This window comes from Homo sapiens, chromosome 5 (genome assembly GCF_000001405.40).
Source record: "Homo sapiens chromosome 5, GRCh38.p14 Primary Assembly".
In the NCBI taxonomy this organism is placed as follows: domain Eukaryota; kingdom Metazoa; phylum Chordata; class Mammalia; order Primates; family Hominidae; genus Homo; species Homo sapiens.
The window spans coordinates 149,743,914-149,769,450 of record NC_000005.10 but is presented as its reverse complement, the minus strand read 5'-3'; the positions used below and the strand labels follow the sequence as shown (position 1 = coordinate 149,769,450).

The 25,537-nt window shown below is 46.4% G+C and overlaps 1 protein-coding gene across 5 annotated transcripts in view, besides 2 other annotated features; it reads right to left on the bottom strand.

The window, feature by feature from the left end:
* The window catches only part of PPARGC1B (PPARG coactivator 1 beta), a 127,650-nt gene that overhangs the window by 88,509 nt on the left and 13,604 nt on the right, over window positions 1-25,537 (bottom strand). The window lies entirely within an intron of this gene.
* Window positions 5,099-5,969: an enhancer, noted in NCBI's record as "H3K4me1 hESC enhancer chr5:149143045-149143915 (GRCh37/hg19 assembly coordinates)". NCBI's record gives its function as "activates a minimal SCP1, AML or CMV promoter by ChIP-STARR-seq in primed H9 embryonic stem cells {active_cell/tissue: H9 hESC(primed)}" and the evidence as "EXISTENCE:reporter gene assay evidence [ECO:0000049][PMID:30033119]".
* Window positions 9,407-10,124: an enhancer, noted in NCBI's record as "H3K27ac-H3K4me1 hESC enhancer chr5:149138890-149139607 (GRCh37/hg19 assembly coordinates)". NCBI's record gives its function as "activates a minimal SCP1, AML or CMV promoter by ChIP-STARR-seq in primed H9 embryonic stem cells {active_cell/tissue: H9 hESC(primed)}" and the evidence as "EXISTENCE:reporter gene assay evidence [ECO:0000049][PMID:30033119]".

The following is a 25,537-nucleotide window of genomic DNA, read 5'->3' as shown; positions in this document are numbered from 1 at the left end:
CGTGCCTCCTGACGCCTGGCTCCGGCAGCATATCACATTGCCATTGTCATTTGTAAGTGAGAAAAGTATAAGACGTTATGCAGTGCAGACCAGGATCCCCAGCCTTCAGGCCACGAACCGGTACAAGTCCGTGGCCTGTTAGGAACCGGGCCACACAACAGGAGATAAGTGGTGGGCAAGTAAGCAAAGCTTCATCTGTATTTACAGCTGCTCCCCATGGCACGCATTACTGCCTGAGCTCCACCTCCTGTAAGATCAGCAGCGGCATTAGATTCTCATAGGAGCACAACCCCTATTGTGAACTGCACATGCAAGAGATCTAGATTGTTCACTCCTTATTAGAATCTAATGCCTGCTGATCTGAGGTGGAGCTGAGGCAGTGATGCTAGTGCTGGGGAGTGGCTGCAAATAGAGATTAACATTAGCAGAGAGGTCTGACTGCACAGAGATCATAATACATCAATTGCTTGCAGACTCATATCAAAACTCTATCAGTGGCCAGGAGTGGTGGCTCACGCCTGTAATCCCAGCACTTTGGGAGGCTGAAGTGGGCAGACTGCTTGAGCTCAGGAGTTCAAGAGCAGTCTGGGCAACAAAGTGAAATCTCATCTCTACAAAAAAAAATACAAAAATTATGCCAGGCATGGTGGCTCACGCCTGTAATCCTAGCACTTTGGGAGGCCGAGGTGGGTGGATCACCTGAGGTCAGGAGTTTGATACCAGCCTGGCCAACATGGTGAAACCCCATCTCTACTGAAAATACAAAAATTAGCCAGGCATGGTGGTGGGCGCCTGTAGTCTCAGCTACTCAGGAGGCTGAGGTGGCAGAAAATACAAAAATTAGCCAGACGTGGTGGTGGGCACTTATAGTCTCAGCTACTCAGGAGGCTGAGGTGGCAGAATCGCTTGAACCTGAGAGGCGGAGGTTGCAGTGAGCCGAGATGGCACCACTGCACTCCAGTGTGGGCGACAGAGCAAGACTCTGTCTCAAAAAAAAAAAAAAAAAAAATTAGCCAGGCATGGTGGCACGTGCCTATAGTCCCAGCTACTCAGGAGGCTAAAATGGGATGATTGCTTGAGCCTGGGAGGTGGAGGTTGTAGTGAGCCAAGATCACACCACTATACTCCAGCCTGGCTGACAGAGCCAGACCTTGTCTAAAGAAAAACCCTATCGCTGAGTGGCAAGTGCCAATTAAGCTGCATCTGGTGGCCTTAAAAATATATTTGTGACAACTTCAAATCTCCATACGTTCTGGATTAAAATCAAGGCGGAATATCCGGAGACTGCCACAAAGCACTGAAAAGCCTGCTTCTATTTCCAACATCCTATCCCTGTGAAGCAGGGTTTTCTGCAGCGACAGCAACCAAAACAAGATTACGGAGGAGACTGGACATAAGCAACCCACTTTGGGTGTCACTATCTCCCATCACCCCCAGATGGGACCATCTAGTTGCAGGAAAACAAGCTCAGGGCTCCCACTGATTCTACATTATGGTGAGTTGATAATTATTTCATTACATATTACAATGTAATAATAATAGAAATAAAGTACACAATACATGTAATGCACTTGAATCATGCAGAAACCATCTTCCCTGCATCCGCCACCCCCCACCCCCAACCCCATCTGTGGAAAAACTGTCTTCCATGAAACCAGTCCCTGGTGCCAAAAAAGTTGGAGACCGCTGGTGTAGACAAAAGAGAGTTCCAGAGGAGTGGAGTCCAGCTCAGTGATCCTGCCAGATGTCCAAAGGGAATGGGATACCCCAGTGAGAATGTTCAGTCCCTGGAGCTACACAGCTGAATAGATACTGTATTTTCCAGGGATGTTAAGACAGGCTTTCTTACTTGGGAAGGAACTGAGAGGGTTCTAGATTTCTAGGGTTGTTACCTACAATGGGAATGATGCTCCAGCCTCATCTTCTAAGATCTGACTCTGCTTACTCTGAGACCCCATGTCTGTGAGCACATCCTAATGCCATCTCTCCACACAGCCTTTCAAAGCTTCCTGATGTCTCCATGAATGCAAAGAAAAAAATCAGGAAGAAGGCTCTTCCCCTGGGAGTCCTGAATAAGCCATCATTTCTAAACAATCATTCATTATCAAGGAATCTTTCTAGTCTGCCTCTCCCAGACCATATCTCATAGAGCGGGGAAAAAGGCTGGAGGCACAAGCATGCATGTGTGGGCTCTGGGACTTCCCTGCATGAACACCCACATAGGTCCCAAAGCTTACCACTGTGAACCGAACACCCCAACCCACACCTTCCTCTCCCAGCAAAGCCAGCAAGGGAAATGGGCCGAGATGCCCAACTTTACAGAAAGAGGACTGTTGTTTTCTAGTGCAAGGAAGACTTCCTCCCCTGGCATGAGGGATATCCTTACCATGGACCAAAGAGTTTCCAGGACAGCTCTCTAGCCACTCAATGCAGGGACCTGGTCCTCATCTCCGACAGCCTCGTCAGCTGAACCAACTTGGAAAGGAACATGCTGGTTCTGTTTCCTCCTCATAGCCCTGCTACCACCCCTCTGGGCTGGTTCCAGATGCAGGTTCTCAAAGTGCAAGCAGGAAACCTGCTTCTCTGAGAGCCATTCAGAGAAAACCTACTTTCCCCAAAGAGGCCACCTAACTGCCTTTGTGGGGGGACAGGGAGCAGTGAGGAGGAGGGGACAGATAATTTAATAATCACCCCATATTTGCCTTTAGTAGAATCCAATGAAATCATGATGGGTGCTATTGTGCTCTGTCAAGGACACGGGCAGGACTGCAGAGTATAATCCCAGGCCCTATGGCAGAAATCAAGAATGCAGCCCGTGACACCCTCTAGAATCCAGGAACAGGACAGATATTTTGGTTGAGAGGTTACTTACTAGGAGGTTTAATCATCATCCTGCCTGGTTCACATTTCCAGCTCTGCCACATGAAAGCTCTGTGTTATCAGGCAAGTTACTCAGTTACTTCTGAGCCTCAGTTTCCCTTTTTGAAATACATGACACTAATAATATTGATCTTGCTAAGTAGGATGGACTACAAAGGATAGATGCAAAGTGCTAGTCAAGCTGTCTGCCCTAGAAAAAGACCTTAATAAGCGATACCTTTAAATATATAGATTAACTGATTATTAAGGCTCTGCTAGGTCTGGTACTCTGTTTTTAATCCAGTAAAGATATTTTATTTTAGCCTGTTCTTCCTGGTTACCTTGTTGCCTAAACCACATAACTTTAGATTTTCTGATTTCTTATCATAATCATAATCATAAATTTAAAAACAAGACTTAAAATAAAAACACTAAACCTGCAATTTGAGTAGGCTGCCACAAGGTGGCAACATCATTTGTAAGGTCCAAGCTTTGCCTGAGGGTTCAGAGGTGATAGCTTTGCTACTGGTTCACAGATTAGTAATCACAACATTTCTATATGTATTCATTTTTTTTAAAACTCCTTATTAAAATAACAGCCTTAAATAAACTGGGCAATTACTATGTGCCAGGTATTGTCAAGTACTTTAAATACACTATCTAATTTAATCCTAAAACAATCTCACAGATTGGGGCTTTATTATCTCCATTTTTTTTTTTTTTTTTTTTTTGAGACGGAGTCTCACTCTGTCACCCAGGCTGAAGTGCAATGGCGCGATCTCAGCTCACTGCAAGCTCCACCTCCCGGGTTCACGCCATTCTCCTGCCTCAGCCTCCCGAGTAGCTGGGACTACAGGCACCCGCCACCACGCCTGGCTAATTTTTTGTATTTTTTTTAGTACACACGGAGTTTCCCCGTGTTGGCCAGGATGGTCTTGATCTCCTGACCTTGTGATCCGCCCGCCTCGGCCTCCCAAAGTGCTGGTCGATGTTTAGAAATAAGGAACTGAAGTCTCAGAGGGGTGGAGTGACATAATCTGCAACAGATAAGACCTAACTGAGTTCACCACTGGGCAACTTTTACAGCCATCGACCTCACAGACCAGAGGAGATATGACATTGTCCTTCCCATTTTCTCGACTAGGAGTAAACCTAGATTTGACCCCAGTCTCACATCTTTGGACTTCTGGTCAGGGGTGGTTCTGCTCCAGAGATGGTTCTGCTCCATCGGGCTAGGCCTGAGCTCGGGGTCCTGGAGAGAGGCCTTAAGTAATGTCAGTCCCCTCGTGGGGCAGTATAGAGAAAAGACTCAGTCCTGAAAATTTGCACAGGTGAAATGGTAACCGAGGTCCCGATGAGCCTTACATGCCCAGGCATATTCCCTCCCCTGCCTTCTCGCCTCCTTTAACAAGCTGACCCAAGTCACACGGCAGGAGGACGCCTCTCCTAACTTAACTGTTTCACAGGGTCCCTCCCTCTTTCTCTGCACTATTCTTGAGAAGAAGCCCACCCCAGGGAGTTGGTAAAGGACATGTGTGTTTGGGTACTACCCTCTCCTAACTTAACTGTTTCACAGGGTCCCTCCCTCTTTCTCTGCACTATTCTTGAGAAGAAGCCCACCCCAGGGAGTTGGTAGAGGACATGTGTGTTTGGGTACTACTCTCTCCTAAGAGGAGTCCATGCTTGGAGGCTCAGAGATCAGTCTAGATCAAATTTGTCAGTCATTCATCCAGCCAGGTCTTAAACAGTATGGTTTTCATGCCAACTTCCTATAGTTACCATATCTTTATACCCCCACTACTGTTTACTTAATATCTGTCTTTAAATCTACTTATTTTTTCCTCTTAGACTTATCCTTAGCAATAAATTATGTGTACCAGCTATATTTTCTCAAATGTGCATTTAAATAAGTTATTAAAATGAAATAATGTGAATCACTTGCCACCCCAAAAGACTCCGAGTTAACTCACCCACCTGCACTGACCTTATCCCAGCTGCCTGCCACTTGCTGGGACTCAGTTTCCTCCTCTGTAAAATTCTAAAACAGTATGTCTGTGTCTATGCAGTCTTTCCAATCCAACACCTGTTCTACTTGGGTCTGGCACCTTCACTGGCCAAAGATCACGTCCTCCCTATCCCAGACTTTCTCTTGAACCACTAAGCACAGTTTCCACATCTCTAACCAACTCTCCGCATCCTACTTCAGCCTCATGTTTGGGCCCAGCCTCCAGTGCAGGGCTGGAGGCCACTGCTCGCCGGGCTGAGGTCCCTCTGGTCCTCTTCCCTGCTCATCTCCCCACTGCTAATCCTGCTCCCATCCACACATGGCCCAGCCCTGCCTCTGGCTGAGCCAATCCAGGCCCCCTCTGCCCTCCTATCAATGACTGTGAGGTGTGTGGGTGCCTCTCTGGACCTCAGTTTCTCTATCTATATAAAGAATGCAGAAGGACTCAAATAGAAGTTCTTACTCTGGGCTTGTGCATGGCTTTTAGAGAGTCTATGAAATCACATGCGAACTTTTTTATGTTTTGACATTCTTACATTAAGAGAGTCCATACTCTTTAGAGTCTCTGATGGGGCTATGACCAATAAAGGGGAAAAGCCCCAGGAGTGGCTGGGCCCAGTGGCTCACACCTGTAATCCCAGCACTTTGGAAGTGCTGCGCCTGTAATCCCAGCTACTTGGAAGGCTGAGGTGGGAGGATCCCTTTAGCCCAGGAGGCAGAGGTGGCGGTCAGCCAAGATTGCACCCCTGCACTCCAGCCCGAGCGACAGAGACTCCGTCTCAAAAATGAAAAAAAAAAGAAAAAAAGGCAGAGAAATGACTTGAGCCCAGGAGTTTGAGACCAGCCTAAGCAACATAGTGAGACCTTATCTCAATGAAAAATTTAAAAATTAGTCAAGTGCAGTGGCACGCACCTATAGTCCCAGCTACTCAGGAGGCTAAGATGGGAGAATTACTTGAGCCCGGGAGGCAGAGGTTGCAGTGAGCTGTGATCACACCACTGCACTGCAGCCTGGGTGACAGAGTGAGACCTCTGCAAAAAAAAAAAAAAAAAAAAAAAACCAGGAGTGAATGGCCTCTGAAGGCCCTTCTAGCTGTCATGCTCTGAACCCTCAGGACCTACACATTCCACTCAGCCACAGCCAGGACAGAGCTCACAGAGGCCTCAATGAGAGACTCCAAACACCTCCCCCTGCCCCTGAACTCCACTCTTCATGACCAACAGCCCCTGATGACAAGAAAAGAAAAACACACCAAGCGTTTAACATCTTTCATTCCACTTAAGATCCAAGGTTGGCTGCAACTTTAAGAGGGCTCAAGAGTCACCCAAGAACCTGGGGCCACGATGAAGCTCCCCTGAGGAATCCAGAATGAGACCTGCAGGACCAGGGCCAAAGGCCGGAGGGAGCAAGCGAGGCTGCAGGGCCAGAGTGGGGAGGGAAGTTGCAGGGGATGGCAGGTCACCTCTCTCAAGGGACCTGAAGGTGCTCAAGGGCCTTGGTGAGCCAGGCACAGTGGCTCATGCCCGTAATGCTAATACTTTGGGATGCTGAGGCAGGATTGCTGGAGCCCAGGAGTTAGAGAACAGTCTGGGCAACATGGTGAGACCCCCATCTCTACAAAAAAATTAAAAATGTGCTGGGTGTAATGGTGCACACCTATAGTTTCAGCTGCTTGGGAGGCTGAGGTGGGAGAATCACTTGAGCCCAGGAAGTTGAGGCTGCAGTGAGCCCTGATCACACCATTGCACTCCAGACTGGGCAACAGAGCGAGACCCATCTCTAAAAAAAGGGGTGGGGGAGAACCTTGGCGCCATGAGGGAGAACTAGAGGATAAAAGTGAGATTCAGCTCAAAACCCAAGTTGCCAAGGCTGTCCCCAAATGAAATAGGCTGCCTCCAGAACAGTGAGCACCTTGCCTTCCACACATACAAGCATTAGGCAGAAACAGCCCAAGCCCTGCCTGGGAGGCTATTTGGATAACACACCCTCTAAAATCCCTTCCATGAGGGACTGAGAGCCTTGGAATTCTCCCTCAGGACAAGATAGATTCACTGAGAGGCCCCATGGGTGGGTCAGGCTGCCGGAATCAGCAGAGAGGTACCTGAGGGCTCTGCAGGCAGACAGGAAAAGATCTGCAGGGCCTGGCACAGTGGTTCATGCCTGTAATCCCAGCACTTTGGGAGTCCAAGGTGGGGAGGATCACTTGAGGTCAGGAGTTTGATACCAGCCTGGGCTACATGGTAAAACCTCATTTCTACTAAAAATACAAAAAACTTAGCCGGGCATGGTGGCGCCTGTAATCCCAGCTACTTGGGAGGCTGAGGCAGGAGGAGCGCTTAAGCCTAGGAGGCAGAGGTTGCAGTGAGCCGAGATTGCACCCCTGCACTCCTGCCCAGGAGACAGACTCCATCTCAAAAAAAAAAAAAAAAACCCATGGGATTCCTGACCCAAGTCACCCACCTGCCTCCCTGCTTGTCACTGCCCTTGCACTTATCCCATCATCTCACACAGGTCCCCAGGAGAACCCAAGAAGAACCAGGGTCTGGCCAGAGAAGAGGATGACAGTTTCCCTGAGGAGGGAACAGCAAAGGATAGGCAGATATCCAAATCCCAAGAGCAAAAACTTGAGCGCTCATGGTGACAGGCACTCTGTCAGGCTCTTTAAACATATATTATTTTACCCTCACAGTACCACAATCAGGTTGGCACTACTGTTATCCACATGTCCACGGGATAACACAGTGCTCCCCTGCTATGGATGAGGAGGCTGACAAGAGCAGGACCTATTGCCTGTCAAGTTAATAAGTCACAGTCTTTTCTACATTCTACAAGAGTAACATCACGCAGCATTTGTCTTTCTGCATCTGGCTCATTTCACTTGGCATAATGTCCTCCAGGTTCATCCATGCTACACAAATGACAGAATTCCCTTCCTTTCTTAAGGTTGCATAATATTCTGTTATATGTACATACCACATTTTCTTTATCCATTCATCTGTCAACAAACACTTAGGTTGTTTCCATATCTTGGCTGTTGTAAATAATGCTGCAATGAACGTGAGAGTGCAGATCTCTCTGAGATCTTGATTTCATTTCCTTTGGATACATACCCAGAAGTGGGAAAAGCACAAGGTAGAATGCTGGTGACCAGGGGCTGAAGGACAGAGGAAATGGGGAGGTGTTTGTCAGATAGTACAAAGTTTCAGTCATGCAGGATGAATAAATCCTGGAGATCTACACTACAGCGATGTGACTAAACACTATATTGTATACTTGAAATTGACTAAGAGAGTAGATCTTAAACGTTCTCACCACACACACAGACACATACACACAAGCACACACACACAAAGATAACTGTGTGAGGTGTTGGATATGTTAATTAGCTTGATTGTGGTCATCTTTTCACAGTATATACATACATCAAATCATCACATTATGTACGTTAAATAACACAGTTTTTATTTGTCAAGTTTACCTCAATAAAGCTGGAAAAAGAAAAGAAAAAAAGCCACCGCAGCAGGATTAGACCCCAAGCAGTCTGCACTATGGAGTGTGGGAAGGGGCCGGATGCCTGCCAGCATCACTGAACAAATCCGCCCAGATGCCCTGCGCTGCTTTAATAACTAGAGCAGCAGGAAATATGCCTAGGTTCCAGAAATCTCCCCATTAATCCCCATCCCCCAGTTCTGGGCATTAGGAGACTTTTCTTCAAGATGAGCAAGCTCTCCTTAAATGCCCAACAGGACTGGGTGTACACTGTGGGACCAAGTCAAAAGGGACCTGCTATACCTTGGGGCAAATTCCAGAAATAACTCCTCTCCTCCTCTCTCAAGGGGCAGCCATGCGCAGCAGGCTACAATTCCTTTCTTATTTGTGCAGCAGGTGCATGAGATCATTACTAGGACAATGTGTGTCACATAAGCATAGCATTTGGGCTCCACTTATGTTTCACTCTATAATGTGCAATGTCAACCCCAAACGTGTCCCTGCCTTCTCTACACTTGCTGCCACCCCCTGATGACAATAATCACATGGCTGCTGGAGATACATTCAAGTCCCTTTATTCTCATTTAATTCTCACACCCACTCTGTGAGGCAGATAATAGTATCCTCTTTAAACAAGGAAAAAGCTCAGAAAAGCCAAGCCATGTGCCCAAGGTCACACAGCATGTTAAGTAGCAGAATCCTCAGATCCAGGTGAGTTGGTCAAAAGCCCTTCCCATAGCTACCATTCAATGCCAAGACTGTGCCCCTGGTTTCAGGAGCACTGCGGCTGGGATAGCCCAACCTTAAGTCCCACCACAACAATTCTTCCCAGGAACTGCTGCCCAGAGCCCTCTGCTGTCCACAGTGCTCTCTGCCCCTCAATCTGCTGGCAGTTTGCTGTCTGCTGGCCCTCTGTGGTCTGCTTGTTCACATTCGTGTCCATGGTGCTGAGTACACAGCCTGGCACAGTGTATGCGTAAGGAATGAACCAGATAAGTGTCCCTAGGGCATCCTTGGCTCTTGCAGCATCTCCTGTATTATGTGTGTGCCATTTCAGCAAGGACCATAGCTTCTTCATGTCTGGAGCACCCTGTGGGAGCGCTGGAGCTCCTTGCACATAATGGGTGTTCCAACTCACAGGGTGAATGAGTCTAACATGGAAGATGCAGTGGAAAAGCCTTGGGTTCAAATCCCAGCTCTGCCACTAACAAGCTGCCTGACTTAGGCAAATAGCACTGCCTCTCTGAGCCTCAATATCCAGGGTGGGTGTGGGTGGCCCCTGGCCCAGGGGGCTCTTGGCAGCCAGGCCATTCACCAACTCCCAAGCAGCAGCCTTGCAGCTGCCCCATGCTGCTGCTGGCAGCATGCCTGGTGAAGGATGTGGGTCATTTTCAACCAAATACACTTCCTCTGGTTTGTGAGGATGAGGGAAGGAGCCGGAGGAGCTCCATCTTTGCAATGAACCAACCCACCCCAGCCCAGGGCTCAGGCTAACTCTCATTTGTATGCTGCCCAAGTCCAACTTGGGTCAACAGCTGCTGAAGACAGGTAACTTAACCCTCAGTGTCTGGCTTCTGGGTACCAAATGGGAAATGGTAGTACCTCTCCTGCCCCTCCTGCTCCACGGTGGCCACTGTTGCTACAGCTTTCACCAGTACTAGGCCCCTCTGCTTGTTCACCCCTCCCATCCACTCCAAGAGAAGTGCAGTTATTTTCCTCCTGTACAAATAAATAAAGAGGCAAACAAGTCAATTACTTGCCTGAGGTCATGAGTAAAACATAACTGGCTCTCAAGAAGAGAGAAGTGCAAACCACAAAACAGAATCTCAAGCTACATCCATGAGGAATCCTACTGTCATCAAATGAGGAGGTGAACCAATTTAAGGCCATGGAAAAAACCTTCTTTAAACCTTAATGAAGATCTATAAGGCCTTAATAAAGATAGATTCTTCAATATAATGCTAAATGAAAAAGTCATAAAGACAATATGATCTGACTTTTTTAAAGGAAAAATAAATATGTGAAAAAAGAAATAATAGTCACTTTTAAATAATTATGGGTGGTTTTTATTTCCTTTGAAAGGGTATATCTGCAGTTCTTTAATTTTCTTCAACAAAGATTTAATTCTTTTGTAATAAAATTCTAAAACTAGCCTTTCATTTTATAGTTAAAAAACAAAGCAGGAAAAGATATGATTATATGAACCACCGTTATTGGGAATGTATGAAACTAATGGCCAAGTCTTTAATTATATCTTCTTTACAACTAGAAGCAAAATATTAAAATTTTACAATTATTAAATGTTTGTTGAATTAAAAACAAGAAACAAACAAAAAGAATACAACCCCCAGTAGAGATACAAGACACCATGGAGCCTGGAAAGAAGGCTGAAGACCACAGGCAGGGCTGGCCTCAGCCCTCTTGGAATCCCCGTGGTGATGAGTTCCTGGGGGCATGTGTTGTACCTGTCCACACCCTGTTCCCAAAAGATGGCACCTGCTGGGGCACATGATGACACAGGAGATTCCATGTGGATTCTGATCACCCAACCAGGTCCTGTACTTGTTCACTGAGGTATGTCTCAAACAGGAACTGCTATGTGCAGCGCCAGTGAAACACACAATCATAATAACAAGTGTGCAATGCACAGGTCTGCCTCTTCTCTTCCCAGTCGACTCTAAGCTCTAAGAGAATGGAGATGGTCTGCTCCTAGCATCCAACAGAGCCTGGCATGGATGATGACTCAGTAAGCATTTGTTAAATAAATGAACAGACAAGAGGATGTGTGATTGATCAGGTGAATAAAAAACAAGTGAGTGAATGAATAAATGAATGACTTCTAGTCTAGAACAAAGGGAGTGGTGAGACTTGCCCAAAGGGCAGGGTTACCCAGCAGACAGAGTACACCAACGAGTTGGCCAAGTGACCTTTAATTTAGCCTTACCACCATGAGCTGTGCCCTCACATGGTCAGACCCATCCCCAGTTCCAGCTGGTGCTAACCACAGACAGCGCTCTGTGTGGGTTTGGAGGTGGGCAGGGGTTATGGAATAAGGGCAAGAGGGAGAAAAGGTAGCCATTACTCACGCTGTTACTAGGAGAGATTAATCCAAGCCAAAGAATGCCCCAAGCTGCCCACCTGGCCTTTTTCTAGAACTCAAACTCCTAGAGCTACAAGAAATGCCTCCCAGGGGAATGGGGTCCATGGGAGTCCAAGGCCTCCATGTGGGTCTGTGGGCTCCAGCCCTGTGACAGTGGCCCCTTTCCTCCTCCCAGCTTAGCCCCATGAGCTAGCCACGCTAGTTTCTCTGCACCATGACCCTGCCAGGGGCCCCGCCTTTCCAATTCTGGAAACCTCCCTCTTTCATTAAGCAACCCAGTTAGCCCCACTGACCTCCACTCTCTGCAGCTCTCTGAGCAGCTGGGTGTTAAATCGCAGATCCAAGAGTGGAAATTGACTTTGTGTCGATGGTGGCTGCAGACGCTGACACTATTAGCTGGAGAGCCAACGAGGAAGCCCTCATCCGTCAGGACAGGCTGGCAGGGCTACTCTGAATTCAGGAAGGCCTCGGTTCTGCCACTTATCGAGGCCTTGTAGATTTTACTCATTTCAAATAAATACTGTAGCTCAAGCGATGGCCTCAAATGCACTTATCCACTCACCTCACCCAGGCTGACTTGGCCATCCCCTCAGGCAGGGCGTGCACTGATTTATAACTAGCATATCACCTGCTCTGAAAAAAAAAAAATGCTCAAACACACCAGGTTTCTTTATGTAGTTCCCGTTGGATCCCATTTTCACAAATCGTTTGTGTACTTTATGACGAATGACAAGCTTAGCCACTCGATGCCTCTGCTCTTGGCTTTTCTCACTGCCTGGAATACTTTTCCCCAGAAGGTTGCTTCCTTTCTGATTCTCCAGCTTCAGCATGAATACCATTGCAGAGAGGCGTCTGGACCGCACTTTCTAGCATAACCCACCTACCCCCATGACATGCCCTTGTTTTATTGTCTTCGAAGGGCTTATCACTAGCTGAAATCCTCTTGTGTATTTTCCGCCTCTCTGTGTGAGCTCCTGAAGGATGATGCTGAGGTGGGGCTCACCGCTGTATCCCCAGGTCCAAGCACAGTGGTTACTGAACAGGGGTTGGATGAGAAGGAAACTTCCCTTGGCAGAACAATTAATAAGCCAAGGAGATCCAGTCCTAGGGGTCCAGAACCAGATCCCATCTCAGGTGGACAGTGAACAAGACACATACCACACCCCTAGTCAAGGAACCTCAGATCACCTCTGCTCGAGGGCCAGTCAGGTAAGGCCCTACCCCTTGTTGGGGGACGAGGGACAAGCAGAGTCAATTTTCCTAGGGTTACTCAAAAAAAGAATCTCACTGAAAGTGATCTGCAGAGTCTACAGAGGCAGGAAAAACCCTCAAATCTCCTTAGGGAAGCTCTGTGTCCCACAGCTTCTAGGAGGGGACAACAGAATTGACATTTAGACCTGACGCTGGTCCCCGAGGCCAGGGATGCTGCTTCCATTCTGCTAAAGCCCCAACATCTGGACCAGTGCCAGGACATAACAGGCACTTTAGTATGAATTTTGTTTGTTTGCTTGTTGTTTTGGTTTTTTGTTTTTTGTTTTTCTTTTTGAGATGGAGTCTTGCCCTGTTGCCCAGGCTAGAGTGCAGTGCCGCAATCTTGGCTCACCACAACCTCTGCCTCCTGGGTTCAAGTGATTCTCCTGCCTCAGCCTCCCAAGTAGCTGGGATTACAGGTGCCTGCCACCACACCTGGCTAATTTTTGTAAGATGGAGTTTCATCATGTTGGCCAGGCTGGTCTCAAACTCCTGTCCTCAAGTGATCCACCCGTCCCGGCCTCTCAAAGTGCTGGCATTACAGGTGTGAGCCTCCACACCCTGTCAAGAATTTTTAAATAGCATATTTATTAAGTGCCTCCTATGTGGTAAGTACTCTATATAAAAAGCCCACTGATACTTCAAATCCACCCTGTATAGATGGGACTCCTACATTACCTCAGAGGGGTGAAGTCACATGCCCAAGGTCAAACAACCAGCAAACGAGGGCAGAGCAAGGTCTTGAACCCTGACTGCTGCCGCTGTGCCTCCTGCAAAGCCAAGCAGCAACAATGACACCATAGGCCGGGCACGGCGGCTCACCCCTGTAATCCCAGCACTTTGGGGGGCCAAGGCGGGTGGATTACCTGAAGTCAGGAGTTCAAAACCAGCCTGCCCAACATGGTGAAACCCCATCTCTACTAAAAATACAAAAATTAGCTGGGCATGGTGGCGGACACCTATAATCCCAGCTACTTGGGAGGCTGAGGCAAGAGAATCGCTTGAACCCTGGAGGCAGAGGTTGCAGTGAGCCAAGATCGCGCCATTGTACTCCAGCCTGGGCAACAAGAACAAAATTCCATCTCAAAAAAAAAAAGCAATAATAATAATAATAATAATAATAATAATAACAATAATAATAATAATAACAACAACAACATCTACAGCAGACAAGAAGGACTCCCGCACTGTTTCAGCCATCTTCTGCAACCGTGGCCCAAAAAGGCTAAGTCCACAGTCCAGGGTTTACATCTAACAGCTAGCAGAACTGAGATTCCAACATAGACATCTTTCAGCTCTGAAGTATTGGCTCTTAGGGGTTCACCCATGAAAGAGTTGGCACTTAAAAAACCAAAGACAGGTGTGATGGTGCATGCCTGTAATCCCAGCTACACCAGAGGCAAAGGTGGGAGGAATGATTGAGCCCAGGGGTTCAAGCCTGCAGTGAGCTGTTTGCACCACTGCACTCCATCCTGGGCAACAAAGTAAAGCTCTGTCTCTTAAAAAAAAACTTTTTTAAAAAAATCAGGATGTTCTAGGCCAGGCACAGTGGGTCACGCCTGTAATCCCAGCACTTTGGGAGGCCAAGGTGGACAGATCACTTGAGGTTAGGAGTTTGAGACCAGCCTGCCCAACATAATGAAACCCTTCCTTTACTAAAAGAAAAAAAAATTATATATATATATATATATATGTATATGTATATGTATATGTAGTGTATATGTGTGGGTATATATATATGTAGTGTATATGTGTGTATATATATAGTGTGTGTGTTTACATATATATATACAAAAATTGGTCAGGCATGGTGGCGCGTGCCTGTAGTCCCAGTTACTCTGGAGGCTGAGGTAGGAGAGTTGCTTGAACCCGGGAGGCAGAGGTTGCAGTGAGCTGAGATCACACCACTGCACTCCAGCCTGGGTGACAGAGCAAGACTCTGTCTAAAAAAAAAAAAAAAAAAAAAAAAAATCAGGATGCTCTGGAAGAAACTGCAGGTTGCCACATGGCTCCTACTATATATAGCAAGACAAATCAGGACCTGGTTACCTGTCAGCCCAGCCTCTGACACCTGACTCCGACAGGCCCATTCTCCTCTGGGCCTCACTCTGCCTACCTGTTTAACCAGATGACTTGGCTGTAAAGTTTAAGGTAAGTAAAATCTTACCACTCATTTGAAACCAAGTAAATACTAATGTGATATTATATTGTGACAGCTTTCTACAGTTTTAAAAACACTTTTATACTGATTATCTATCTATCCAACATCCCTGCTGTTGAACTAATATCCTCTCTTCACAGAGCAGAAAACAGTGACTCAGAGAGTTTAACTGACTTAGTCAAGCTCACCCAGAGGGTAGGCAGTCAGGTCTGGACCCTGACCCTAGCCCAGGAGGCATCCTCCTCCAAACGGAGCTGCCAGGGGAGGGGGGCACGCAAGAAGGACCCGGGGCCACGTGAGGGAATAGGAATAAAACAAGCTCAACACACGAATCAGAAAGAAGAAAATCGACAACTGATACGAGTTCACAGGAAAGGCAACACAGGTGAGTCTTAACCATCCGAAAAGGACTATGAATTAAAACTTCAGAGACTCCAGATTGGCAAAGATCAACGAAGTCTAATAACATGCTGTGTGGGTGAAGGTGTGAAGAAACAAACACTTCTTATGCATTTCTACAGAAACATAAACTGATATAATTTCACGGACAGGAATGTGACAATATACATCAAAATGTTAAATATGCACACCGGCCAGGTGCGGTGGCTCACGCCTGTAATCCCAGCACTTTGGGAGGCCGAGGTAGGCGGATCACCTGAGGTCAGGAGTTCGAGACCAGCCTGGCCAACATGGCAAAATCCCGTCTCTACTAAAAATACAAAAATTATCTGGGCGTGGTGGCAGGCACCTGTAATCCCAGCTACTCAGGAGGCTGAGGCAGGAGAATTGCTTGTTGTGGGGAGGCAAAGGTTGGAGTGAGCCGAGATCACACCACTGCACTCCAACCTGGGCGACAAAGCAAGACTCCGTCTCAGAAAAAATCTAACTAAATAAATAAATACACAACACCTTTTAACTGAGCAATTCCCCTCTGAGGCATTTATCCTATGCATACGGTCACATGTGTGCAAAACTTACTGCAAACTAGCAGCAGTAGTCAATTAGAAATAACCTATTTCTGTGTAAGAGGTAGGTTAAAAAAAATTTTTTTAACTAAAAATAAATAAATAAATAGGCCAGGCACAGTGGCTCATGCCTTTAGTAATCCCAGCATTTTGGGAGGCCGAGGTGGGAGGATCACTTGAGGTCAGGAGTTTGAGACCAGCATGGCCAACATGGTGAAACCCTGCCTCTACCAAAAATATAAAAAATTAGCTGGGTGTGGTGGCACATGCCTGTAATCACAGCTACTCAGGAGGCTGAGGCAGGAGAATCGCTTGAACCCGGGAGGCAGAGGTTGCTGTGAGCCGAGATCACGCCACTGCACTCCAGCCTGGGCAACAGAGCGAGACTCTGTCTCAACGAAATAAAATAAAATAAATAGCAATCACTTAAATGCCCAACTAGTTAAACAAACTATGATCAATCCAAACAGTGAAGCAGATCTCTACATATTGATACGAAATGATCTTTAAGAAATACTAAGTAGAAAAAAAGTTGCACAACAATGCCCTTAGTTTGCTACCATTTGTGCAAAAAACAAAAAATAAAAACCCAGGAGGCAGCAAGTTAGACCACATATATGCGATGTTTGTATGGTTTACCTCTGGAAGAACACATTAGAAATTAGTAGAGGGTTGCTCTGGGGATGGAAACACAAGAATGTGAGTGCAAGGGATGACTGCCATTTGTAACATGCATAATGTTTTTGTTTGTTTGTTTATGTTTTCATCTTGACTCCTGACTTCAAGTGATCAAGATGGAGTCTCACTCTGTCACCCAGGCTGGAGTGCAATGGTACGATCTTGGCTCACTGCAACCTCCGTCTCCCGGGTTCAAGCGATTCTCCTGCCTCAGCCACCCAAGTAGCTGGGATTACAGGCACCTGCCACCACGCCTGGCTAATTTTTGTATTTTTAGTGGAGACAGGGTTTCACCATGTTAGCCAGGCTGGTCTTGAACTCCTGACTTCAGGTGATCCACCCACCTCGGCCTCCCAAAGTGCTGGGATTACAGGCGTGAGCCGCCACGCCTGGCCTGTAACATAATCTTTTAAACCAGGGTCTGTGTTACATTTGCAAAATAAATACAAAAGCAAGTTCATTGTCTCTTTCACATTGAACCACAGTGTATGCTGAAACTAGTAGGAAAATGAGCTTGCCAGGCAGCTGGGTCTTCCTGGGGCTTGCTCTGCGTGAGCCCCACCAATCTCTTCCCCTTGGTTCTGCTCCGACTGCAGTCTGAATCACAAGGTGGATCAGTTAACACTTCAAACAGCCCGACTGAGTAATAGATTCTAAATCAGGAAGGCTGAGTTTAAATGCCTTCCCCACCAGCAAGGGTATTTATCTTGTTCTGTACATATTAACGGACATGTAGAGAGATGCGGTACATAGTATGTAGACTAAAAGCCAAACCTCGGGAGTGATTAAAGCCTGGGAAGTACTTGGAGGTGATCAGATATTGTCTAAACCTGGTATTATCTGAGTTAAAACAGGCAGCAATATCAGCAGCTGTGGTAGGCACATGCACAGGGAAGTAGCAACATAGCCTTACATCTGTTTATGACTCTACAATTGGCAATTTGCTTTCAGATCCATTATACATGCATTCTCACAGCAATGCAGGGATTGCTGTTCCCATTTTATAAAGGAGGAGATAGTTAAACTATGACTACCGTCTATGTTCTCCCCATCTCAAGGTCACAGGTAGGAATCCGCCCATAAAAGGAGGCTGAGAGGTGAGAAAAGTGTGCCCAAGGAGAGAAGCTTGGGGAGAAGTGAAACCTACAATGTTACCTTTATTTTCTTAAGCACTGCCTATGACTGGTTATTTCTGGGTGCTGGGATTAGTTTTCTTTTCTTTTTTTTTTTTTCTTTTGGACAGAGTCTTCCTCTGTCGCCCAGGCTGGAGTGCAGTGGTGCAATCCTGGCTCACTGCAACCTCCACCTCCCAGGTTCAGGCAATTCTCCTGCCTCAGCCTCCCAAGTAGCTGGGATTACAGGCGTGTGCCACCACACCTGGTTAATTTTTGTATTTTTAGTAGAGACGGGGTTTCACCATGTTGGCCAGGCTGGTCTTGAACTCCTGACCTCAGGTGATCCGCCCGCCTTGGCCTCCCAAAGTGCTGGGATTACAGGCATGAGCCAGCGTGCCCGGCCGGGATTAGTTTTCTTTACTTTCTCTTACCTATTTGTATGCTCTCACATTTCAATAAATTAATGCATATCATTTTTGCAACAAGAAAAAATACAATTTATATAATCATAGAAGATCAGCACCATAGAAAAGGTAAAAAAGTAAATAAATAAATAAAAAGAGATAATCCCATATTCAGTTGAAAGGCATTTAAAACCGCTAAACTGCTAAGTGGCAGGGTGGGGATAACCTTACTTTCTCTGACAAATTAGTCCCTAATACTGAAAATTTTTAAATATTAATTTTCAAAAAATCCATATTACATTTGCTAAACAAAACAACCAAAATATAAAAGTAAAAGGAATCTAAGATTATTTCTCCAAAATACTTTGGTATTAACGATAAATTACAGTGCAATTAAACAACTGTCTGTGTTATAGTAAAACATTTAAGTTTTGAATTTCATAATTATTAGCTTCTTTTTTACTCTTCAAAATTGCTTTTACATTAACTTTTTCTGTAAAGCTCAGAGCACAGCTATGGATGTACACAGATCCTGTCTTCCAGGCTGAAGCCTGGCCAGGCTGCCTGCACGGGCACCCATCGTGCGTACTTGGACCTGCCGGTCAGTCCCATGGTCACCTAATGCACCCGGCTGCAAAATCCAGCAGCTGGTGCGGGCCAGAGATAATCGGATGGCTTTGGTATTGAATTGCCCATTGGCCACATGGTACGTTAAATGTGGTTCACTCTTTTTCCACTTGATGTGAGCTTTCTTTAAATAATTACAGACCTCATGGTTGAGCCAGCAGCGGCTCTGTAAGCAGCTCTGTGTGAAAGACACCAGGGGCTGGGGCCCAAGAATGGCCATTCTGAACCTCAAAGAGCACCCACAGCCAAGTCTGCAGACCCCTGGGGTATCTGAGTATTCACTGACACCTTCCTTCCCCTATTAACATATATATATATATATATATATATATATATATATATTTTAACTAAAACAGAGAAGACAGCTAAAAGAAAGTTTGTTTTATAGATTTTAAAAAATGATTCAAGGTGGATAAAATAATGCTGTGGAAAAGGGGAAGAAATTATTGTAGATATCATCTGTCAGTAGAGGATTTTGAATGACTTGCTCCTTTAAAAAAAAAAAATCTGGCCTGAAGTTCCCAATTCTCACCCAATCTTTCCACCCCCATGAATGACTTATCCAATGTTCCGTGATTCACTGGGGAGGTTGGAAATCAGGGATTCTCTTGCCTGGAGTTCCTCCTCCACCTTCTCCTCCTTCCAAACCCACTCGTTTAAGGCACATGATCCCATGACAAATTTCTTCCAACTTACAGTTCAAAGAGAAGTCAGCATTGCACCTGTCACCAGGAAAGGGGCCATAACCTGGGGAGTTAAGAACCTACACTGACATTACCCACTGGGTGCAGGGAAAGTACATTAACCATCTGCGATGAGACTGTTTCCTAGCTCCATCTGTCCATCTGTCTCCAGGAACTAGTCTCCCTCTCTATCCAGTACCTGGTGGTTCAGCTCCAAGCAGAATTTACCAAAGCAAAACAGCCCCCATGATTCACAATCCCAGACTTGTGACACTTTAAAACAGCTCACGTTTAGAAAGATAATGAGTCACAGGATGGCAGAGATTAGGAAACTCAGGGCCAGAGAGGGGGCGAGACCTGTCCAAGGTCACACAGCAAAGAGGAACAGCCCAGGGCTCCCTCCAGACTCCAGGTACAATATTCTCACCATGACACTCTTCTTTCCAGCACAGATGCAAAAAACAAGATTTTCCTCTTCCCTAACTCTAAATTACATAGAGATCAATGGAGATTACAGTTTTCTGGGGGCGTTTCACAGTTGCAACTGTTGCAAAATCATACAATGGCGAGATGTGGCAATTCCGAAAAGACTGGAGATCATTGCTCCAAAAAGAATTCAAGATAAGGCAGGGAACTCAGACAGCAGTAGCGGAGGGGCTCCATTCAAAAAACATCTCTCTTCTCAACCAGGCAGATCTGAAGGGCCACAAGTCTCACATTCCCGTCCAGTTCCTACAACAGTGACCTCAGCGGGTAAGTCACTTCACATCCCTGGGCCTTGGGTTCTTCATCAGCAAAACAGAAATGAAAATCCTCACAAGGATGTGAACTGTGGATGTGAAAATGCTGTGTGAATTTCGCAGTGACACACTAACAGGTATAACGGTAAATAGGAGTAATAATCATTATGATGGCACTAAGTATCATCTGCATCATTAAATTTATTGAGGGCTGTACCTAGTGGTTCTGTGGTGCCTGGCCCCACCGATTCCTGCTGTATTGAGCCAGGGACTTGAGTCAGGACTACATATGAGAAGCTGTACCCCAGCCTTTGTGTCAATCCTTAACACAAATCCCTGCATGTCCCCCACTCACTCCTAGGGCCTGGGGAGGAGCGGTGCAGTCCACAGGGTGATACCATTCATCCCATGCTGCCTGTGAGGCCCAGGGAAGAACTAGTCACCCTCAAAGTCACTCTCCTTCTGAAACCTCCCCAAGGCCTTTCCCCTTCTGCAGAGCAGCCTCCAGCTAGTTTCTCGGACGAGAATCTTGGTGTTCCATCTTTGGATTCTTCCAGACATTTCGTTCATGCTGTCTGTTCCTCACCCCCATGGGGAGTCCTCCAGTCAGCTCAGAGCCTCCCCTCAAGCCTCTCACCTAGCCACTCATTGCTCAGTCATCAGCCACATGATATGCTAGCCATCACGACAGCCTGGTCCCTGGCTAGGAGGCCCCTCCCATCATGTTGGCCAGCTCCTGCTCATCCTTCAATACCCTTTCTGCTGCAAAAGTTGTCTTGACACTCTGCCCTGGGCACCTTCCATGGCCATCAGCAGATCTGTTCATCCAGGGCAGGGAGCAAGGCTTGCTCAAATCTGCAACTGGTTTCCCGTGCACAAGGAGTGACTGCTGCACGGCTTCCTCCACTAAACTGTCACCAAACCATCTGGTCACTGGTAATTGTCATTATTATTGATCATAACACCCAGACACACTGCACTAAGCTCTTCAGACATTGTACCTTCTCATCTTCTCAACTCAACTACCCACTGAGATATATATATATAGATATATCTATATCTATATCTATATCTATATCTATATCTCTTCACCCCATTTCACAGGTGAGGAAACTAAGGCCCAGGCAGAATAAGTACCATGCCCTAAGTCAGCAGCTAACTGACAGACCCTGGACTCAGGCTGACTCAGAGCTCTGTTCTTCACTGTTCTCGTGTGCCTCCCACTTGCCCTCAGACCCTGGGCTGTGCTCATCACCTGGAACCGGCTGGTACTGCCCCTCCTCTGGTTGTTTCACAACCATATCATTGAAAATCTTCTGGCAGGCCAGCTGAGCAAAGGAGGGCTTTCTTCTCCTCTTAGGGTGGATTCTAAACCTCCACCTCCCTCTCCTGCTTGGCTCCTCACCCACTCCTCAACCCCACCCTGCTCTCCCTGGAACCTGATTCACCAACCTGGGCCTGCTCTAGCCTCTCAGGAGATGGGCCTCTGGCAAAGCAGCTTCCACCCAAGACACCATCACTGTCCTCTAGTTTTGCCTGCTATGGTGCCTGCCCATGGTCCACCCCCACCCCACCAGGGAGGTGTGGATGCAGGCACAGTGGGAGGAGATTGCCACATTCCTGTTGGGGCTGGACCAGAAAGTACAAGCCAGGCTGCCACTCCTTCAGCCACTGGGACAAAGAGCAGTGCTGGAGTAGGCTGGAGGCCCCAGGCGCTGCTGGGCAGGTACCTGGTGTCCACACCCACAGGGCAGGGAGGAGCTGTTGCCCAACCCCAAGGAGAAAGTGGCATGAGGCCACTAGGGCACTGGGGCATGATATTTTGGGGCGGGGCCCTGGTCATGCCTGCCTGCTGGGCCCTGGGGACCTCTGTGTGGCTTGGTCAGCAAAGGAGCTATGTCCCCAAGCCCCACACTCACCCTCTGAGCATCAGGCTCACGTGAAGAATGGTGCTAAAAGTATTTTTCTCCTGACACTGTTAGGAGGGTTAGGTGAGCTCGGCAGCCTGTACAGCTTAAGGACTTAGCCAACTACTCACTCATTCAAGACACATTCAGTTATGCGAAGGAATGAAGTTGGACTCTTACCTTACACCATATATAAACATTAACTCCAAATGGATCAAAGATAAAAATGAAAGAGCTCAAACTCTAAAACTCTTAGAAAAAAACAAAGCAGGCAAAGGCTTCCTGACATTGGGTTTGAAAATGATTTCTTAGATATGACACCAAAAGCAGAGGCAACAAAAGAAAAAATAGACAAATTAGACTACGTGAAAATTATTTAATTTTGTGAATTAGAAGACACTATCAACAGAATAAAAAGGCAACACATAGAATGGGAGAAAATATTTGCAAATCATATCTGATGAGATTAGTATCTCAAATGTAAAGAGAACTAAATGTCAACAACAACAAAAAACAAACAACCCAATTTTAAAATACAGGCAAATGACTTGAAAAGACATTTATCTAAAGAAGATATGCAAATGGCCAGTAAACACATTAAAAAATGCTCAGTCATTAGGGAAATGCAAATCAAAACTACAATAAGATAACCACCTCACATCCATTAGGATGGCTACTATTTAAAGAAACAAACAGAAAACAGGAAGTGTTAGAGAGGATATGGAGAAATTGGGACCCTTGTGCACTGTTGGTAGGAATGTTAAATGGTACAGCCACCATGGAAAACAGTATGGTGGTTCCTCAAAACATTAACAATAGAACTACCATATAATCCAGCAATTCCACCTCTGGGCATATACCCAAATGGGTTGAAGTCAGGGTCTCCAAGAGATATTTGTGCACCCATGTTCATAGCACCATCATTCACAATAGCTAAAATGTGAAAGCAACCCAGGTATTCACTAACAAATGAATGGATAAGCAAAATGTGGCATATTCAGTGAAATATTATTCTACCTGAAAAAGGAAGGAAATCCTGACATTTGCCCCAATAGAGATGAGCCTTGATGACACTATGCTAAGTAAAATAGGCCAGCCACAAAAAGACAAATACTGTGATCCCACTTGTATGAGAAACCATGTCACAACCAAAATCATAGAGACAGAAAGTAGAATGGTGGTCATTTGAGGAGATGACACCTGACAGGACAGGAAGGAGGTGAGGAAGCAGCAAGCCATGGCAATGCCTGGGAAGAGCGTTGCCGGCAGAGGGAACAGCAAGTGCAAAGGCCTCACTACACTAGCTAGAAGACTAATTCTATTATCAGTGGAGCCACACCCTGACCACACTGTGGAAGCAGCACACAGAGCTGGGATGGCAGTGAATCAGGCATCAGAAATGGATTCTAGTCCTGTTGCTACCTCTAAGCTACTGCATGGTCTGGGACCATGACCAGCACCCCTCTGATCTTTAAGGGGCCTGATACATCAAACTGTCACTGGCCTCTGGGAGTCTGCAGGTGACTTGTGTTCTCTCAGGCTGCCTTCTTCCTCCTCTCTTCCAACCCATTCACTCATAAAGTAATCCTAATCCCCCCACCTCCTATGAGCTGACCCATAAGTGGGTGTGGGATTGAGGATCAAGGAGGACAAACACAGGGACCAAGACGAATATTTGAAAACTGATTACCGGCAGGATCCTACCAAGTCACTCTCTAGACCTCTATTTTCCCATCTGTAAAATGGGAATACTTCTTTTCCCTATGACATGAGATTGATGTGAAGATCAAATGGAAATGCCTGATAAAGAAGTTGCCCTGCTCTCCACGGGCATTATTATAAAGAGGCTTTCGATCTGTTCCCTGGTCATTCATCCTAAATGCTAGCCTGTACCCCACACTGAGGCAGGAAAGAGAGAGGGGAGGGAACTGGCAGAGTTCATGACAGACACTCTATGAATAGTACCTGATTTTTAGTACCAAAGCAGGGGTGTCATCAGAGGGAGCTTTTTAAAGACAGAGAAGCTTAAGGGCCTACTCTCAAAGATTCTCACTCTATAGGTCTGGGACAGCCCCAGATGTGTAATTATGACTTTTTTAAACTACAGAGTTGATTCTGATGTGCACTCATGGCTGAGAACCACTGATTAGTTCTACCAAGCCTGGCAGGTAAGTCCTATTATCATTCCCATTTGGGAGCTGGCTAACTAGAGCACAGAGCAGCTATCTAACTCCTTAGATCACACAACTAAAAAGTCACAAAGCTGGCCAGGCACAGTGGCTCCTGCCTGTAATCCTAGCACTTTGGGAGGCCGAGGCAATAGGATCGCTTGAGCCTAGGAGTTCGAGACCAGCCCGGGCAATATAGCAAGACCCTATCTCTAAAAAAAGTAAAAAATTATCCAGGTGTAGTGGCACATGCCTTTAGTCCTAGCTACTGGGGAAGCTGAGGTAGGAGGATCCCTTGAGCCCAAGAGGTCGAGACTGCAGTGAGCCTCCTTGATCGCACCAGCTTGGGCAACAGAGCAAGACCCTGTCTCAAAAAAAAAAAAAAAAAAGTCACAAAGCTAAAATTTGAACCAGACTCTAAAGCCCAAGCTCTTATGAATCACTAAGCGCAAGTGCCACTGTTTCTTGAGGCCAATCAGCACTTATCTAATGCCGAGCTACAAACTCTTTGTGCTACCTTAAGCAGCCTTGGAAACATAAAAGACAACACCTTATTTTCAGAGATTGCATTAACTTTCAAAGAAAGCTTTATGGCTAGACTAACTCATTCATCTGGCTTCATCAAGGAATTATGTATGCTAACAATATGCAAACTTTATAAATAACTTGGAATGCCAAAACTTTTGCCTGCTTTTGATAGACTTCCTATTTTTGATGGTAATACCAAAATGTACTTCACACTTTCTTGCTTTCTCGGAGAACACTGAACAGAATGTACCTTTCCTCAGACACGATACACTGTCTTCACCAATGAGCTTTGCGCTTTCACATAGTAATGTATTCAGGAACAAGACAGGTGTGCAGGACCCCTCAGCCCCCTCACTAATTGGCCCCAAGCTGGCTTCGGTGCTGCAGTCCACGTGTCTGCCTCTGGTAGATCCTCACCTCTCACCCCATGCCTACATAGGCACACACTAACAGAACCAATGTGCTGCTTCTCATATCATGAGGCCTTGCTTGACATGACTGCCAAGCTTGTAAGAACCATGTGCAAACTAAGAGTGAATTGGCCCTAGGCAGGAAAGGTGCCAGGTGCAACATATGAGGAGATTCTAAGCAAGGGAAGATCCACGCAGCCTGAAGTTCATTTTCTTGGGCTGGGCACTGTGGTCACTGGTCCCCAAGTCCTCTCTTGCCCCTTCACCTCCCTGGATTTCTCTTCCTTCCTCATGAGTGCAGGCAGCCTGCCTAGTCTCTCTGGAGTAAGTGGGTGGGTCATAGGCATGAGGCCTAGTGTAAAGTGCTGGTTTCAATCCCCCGGGAAGATGTGGGGACATCTGACCAGACACCTCCCTGCAGATACCAAGACTCTCAAAACTCTGAG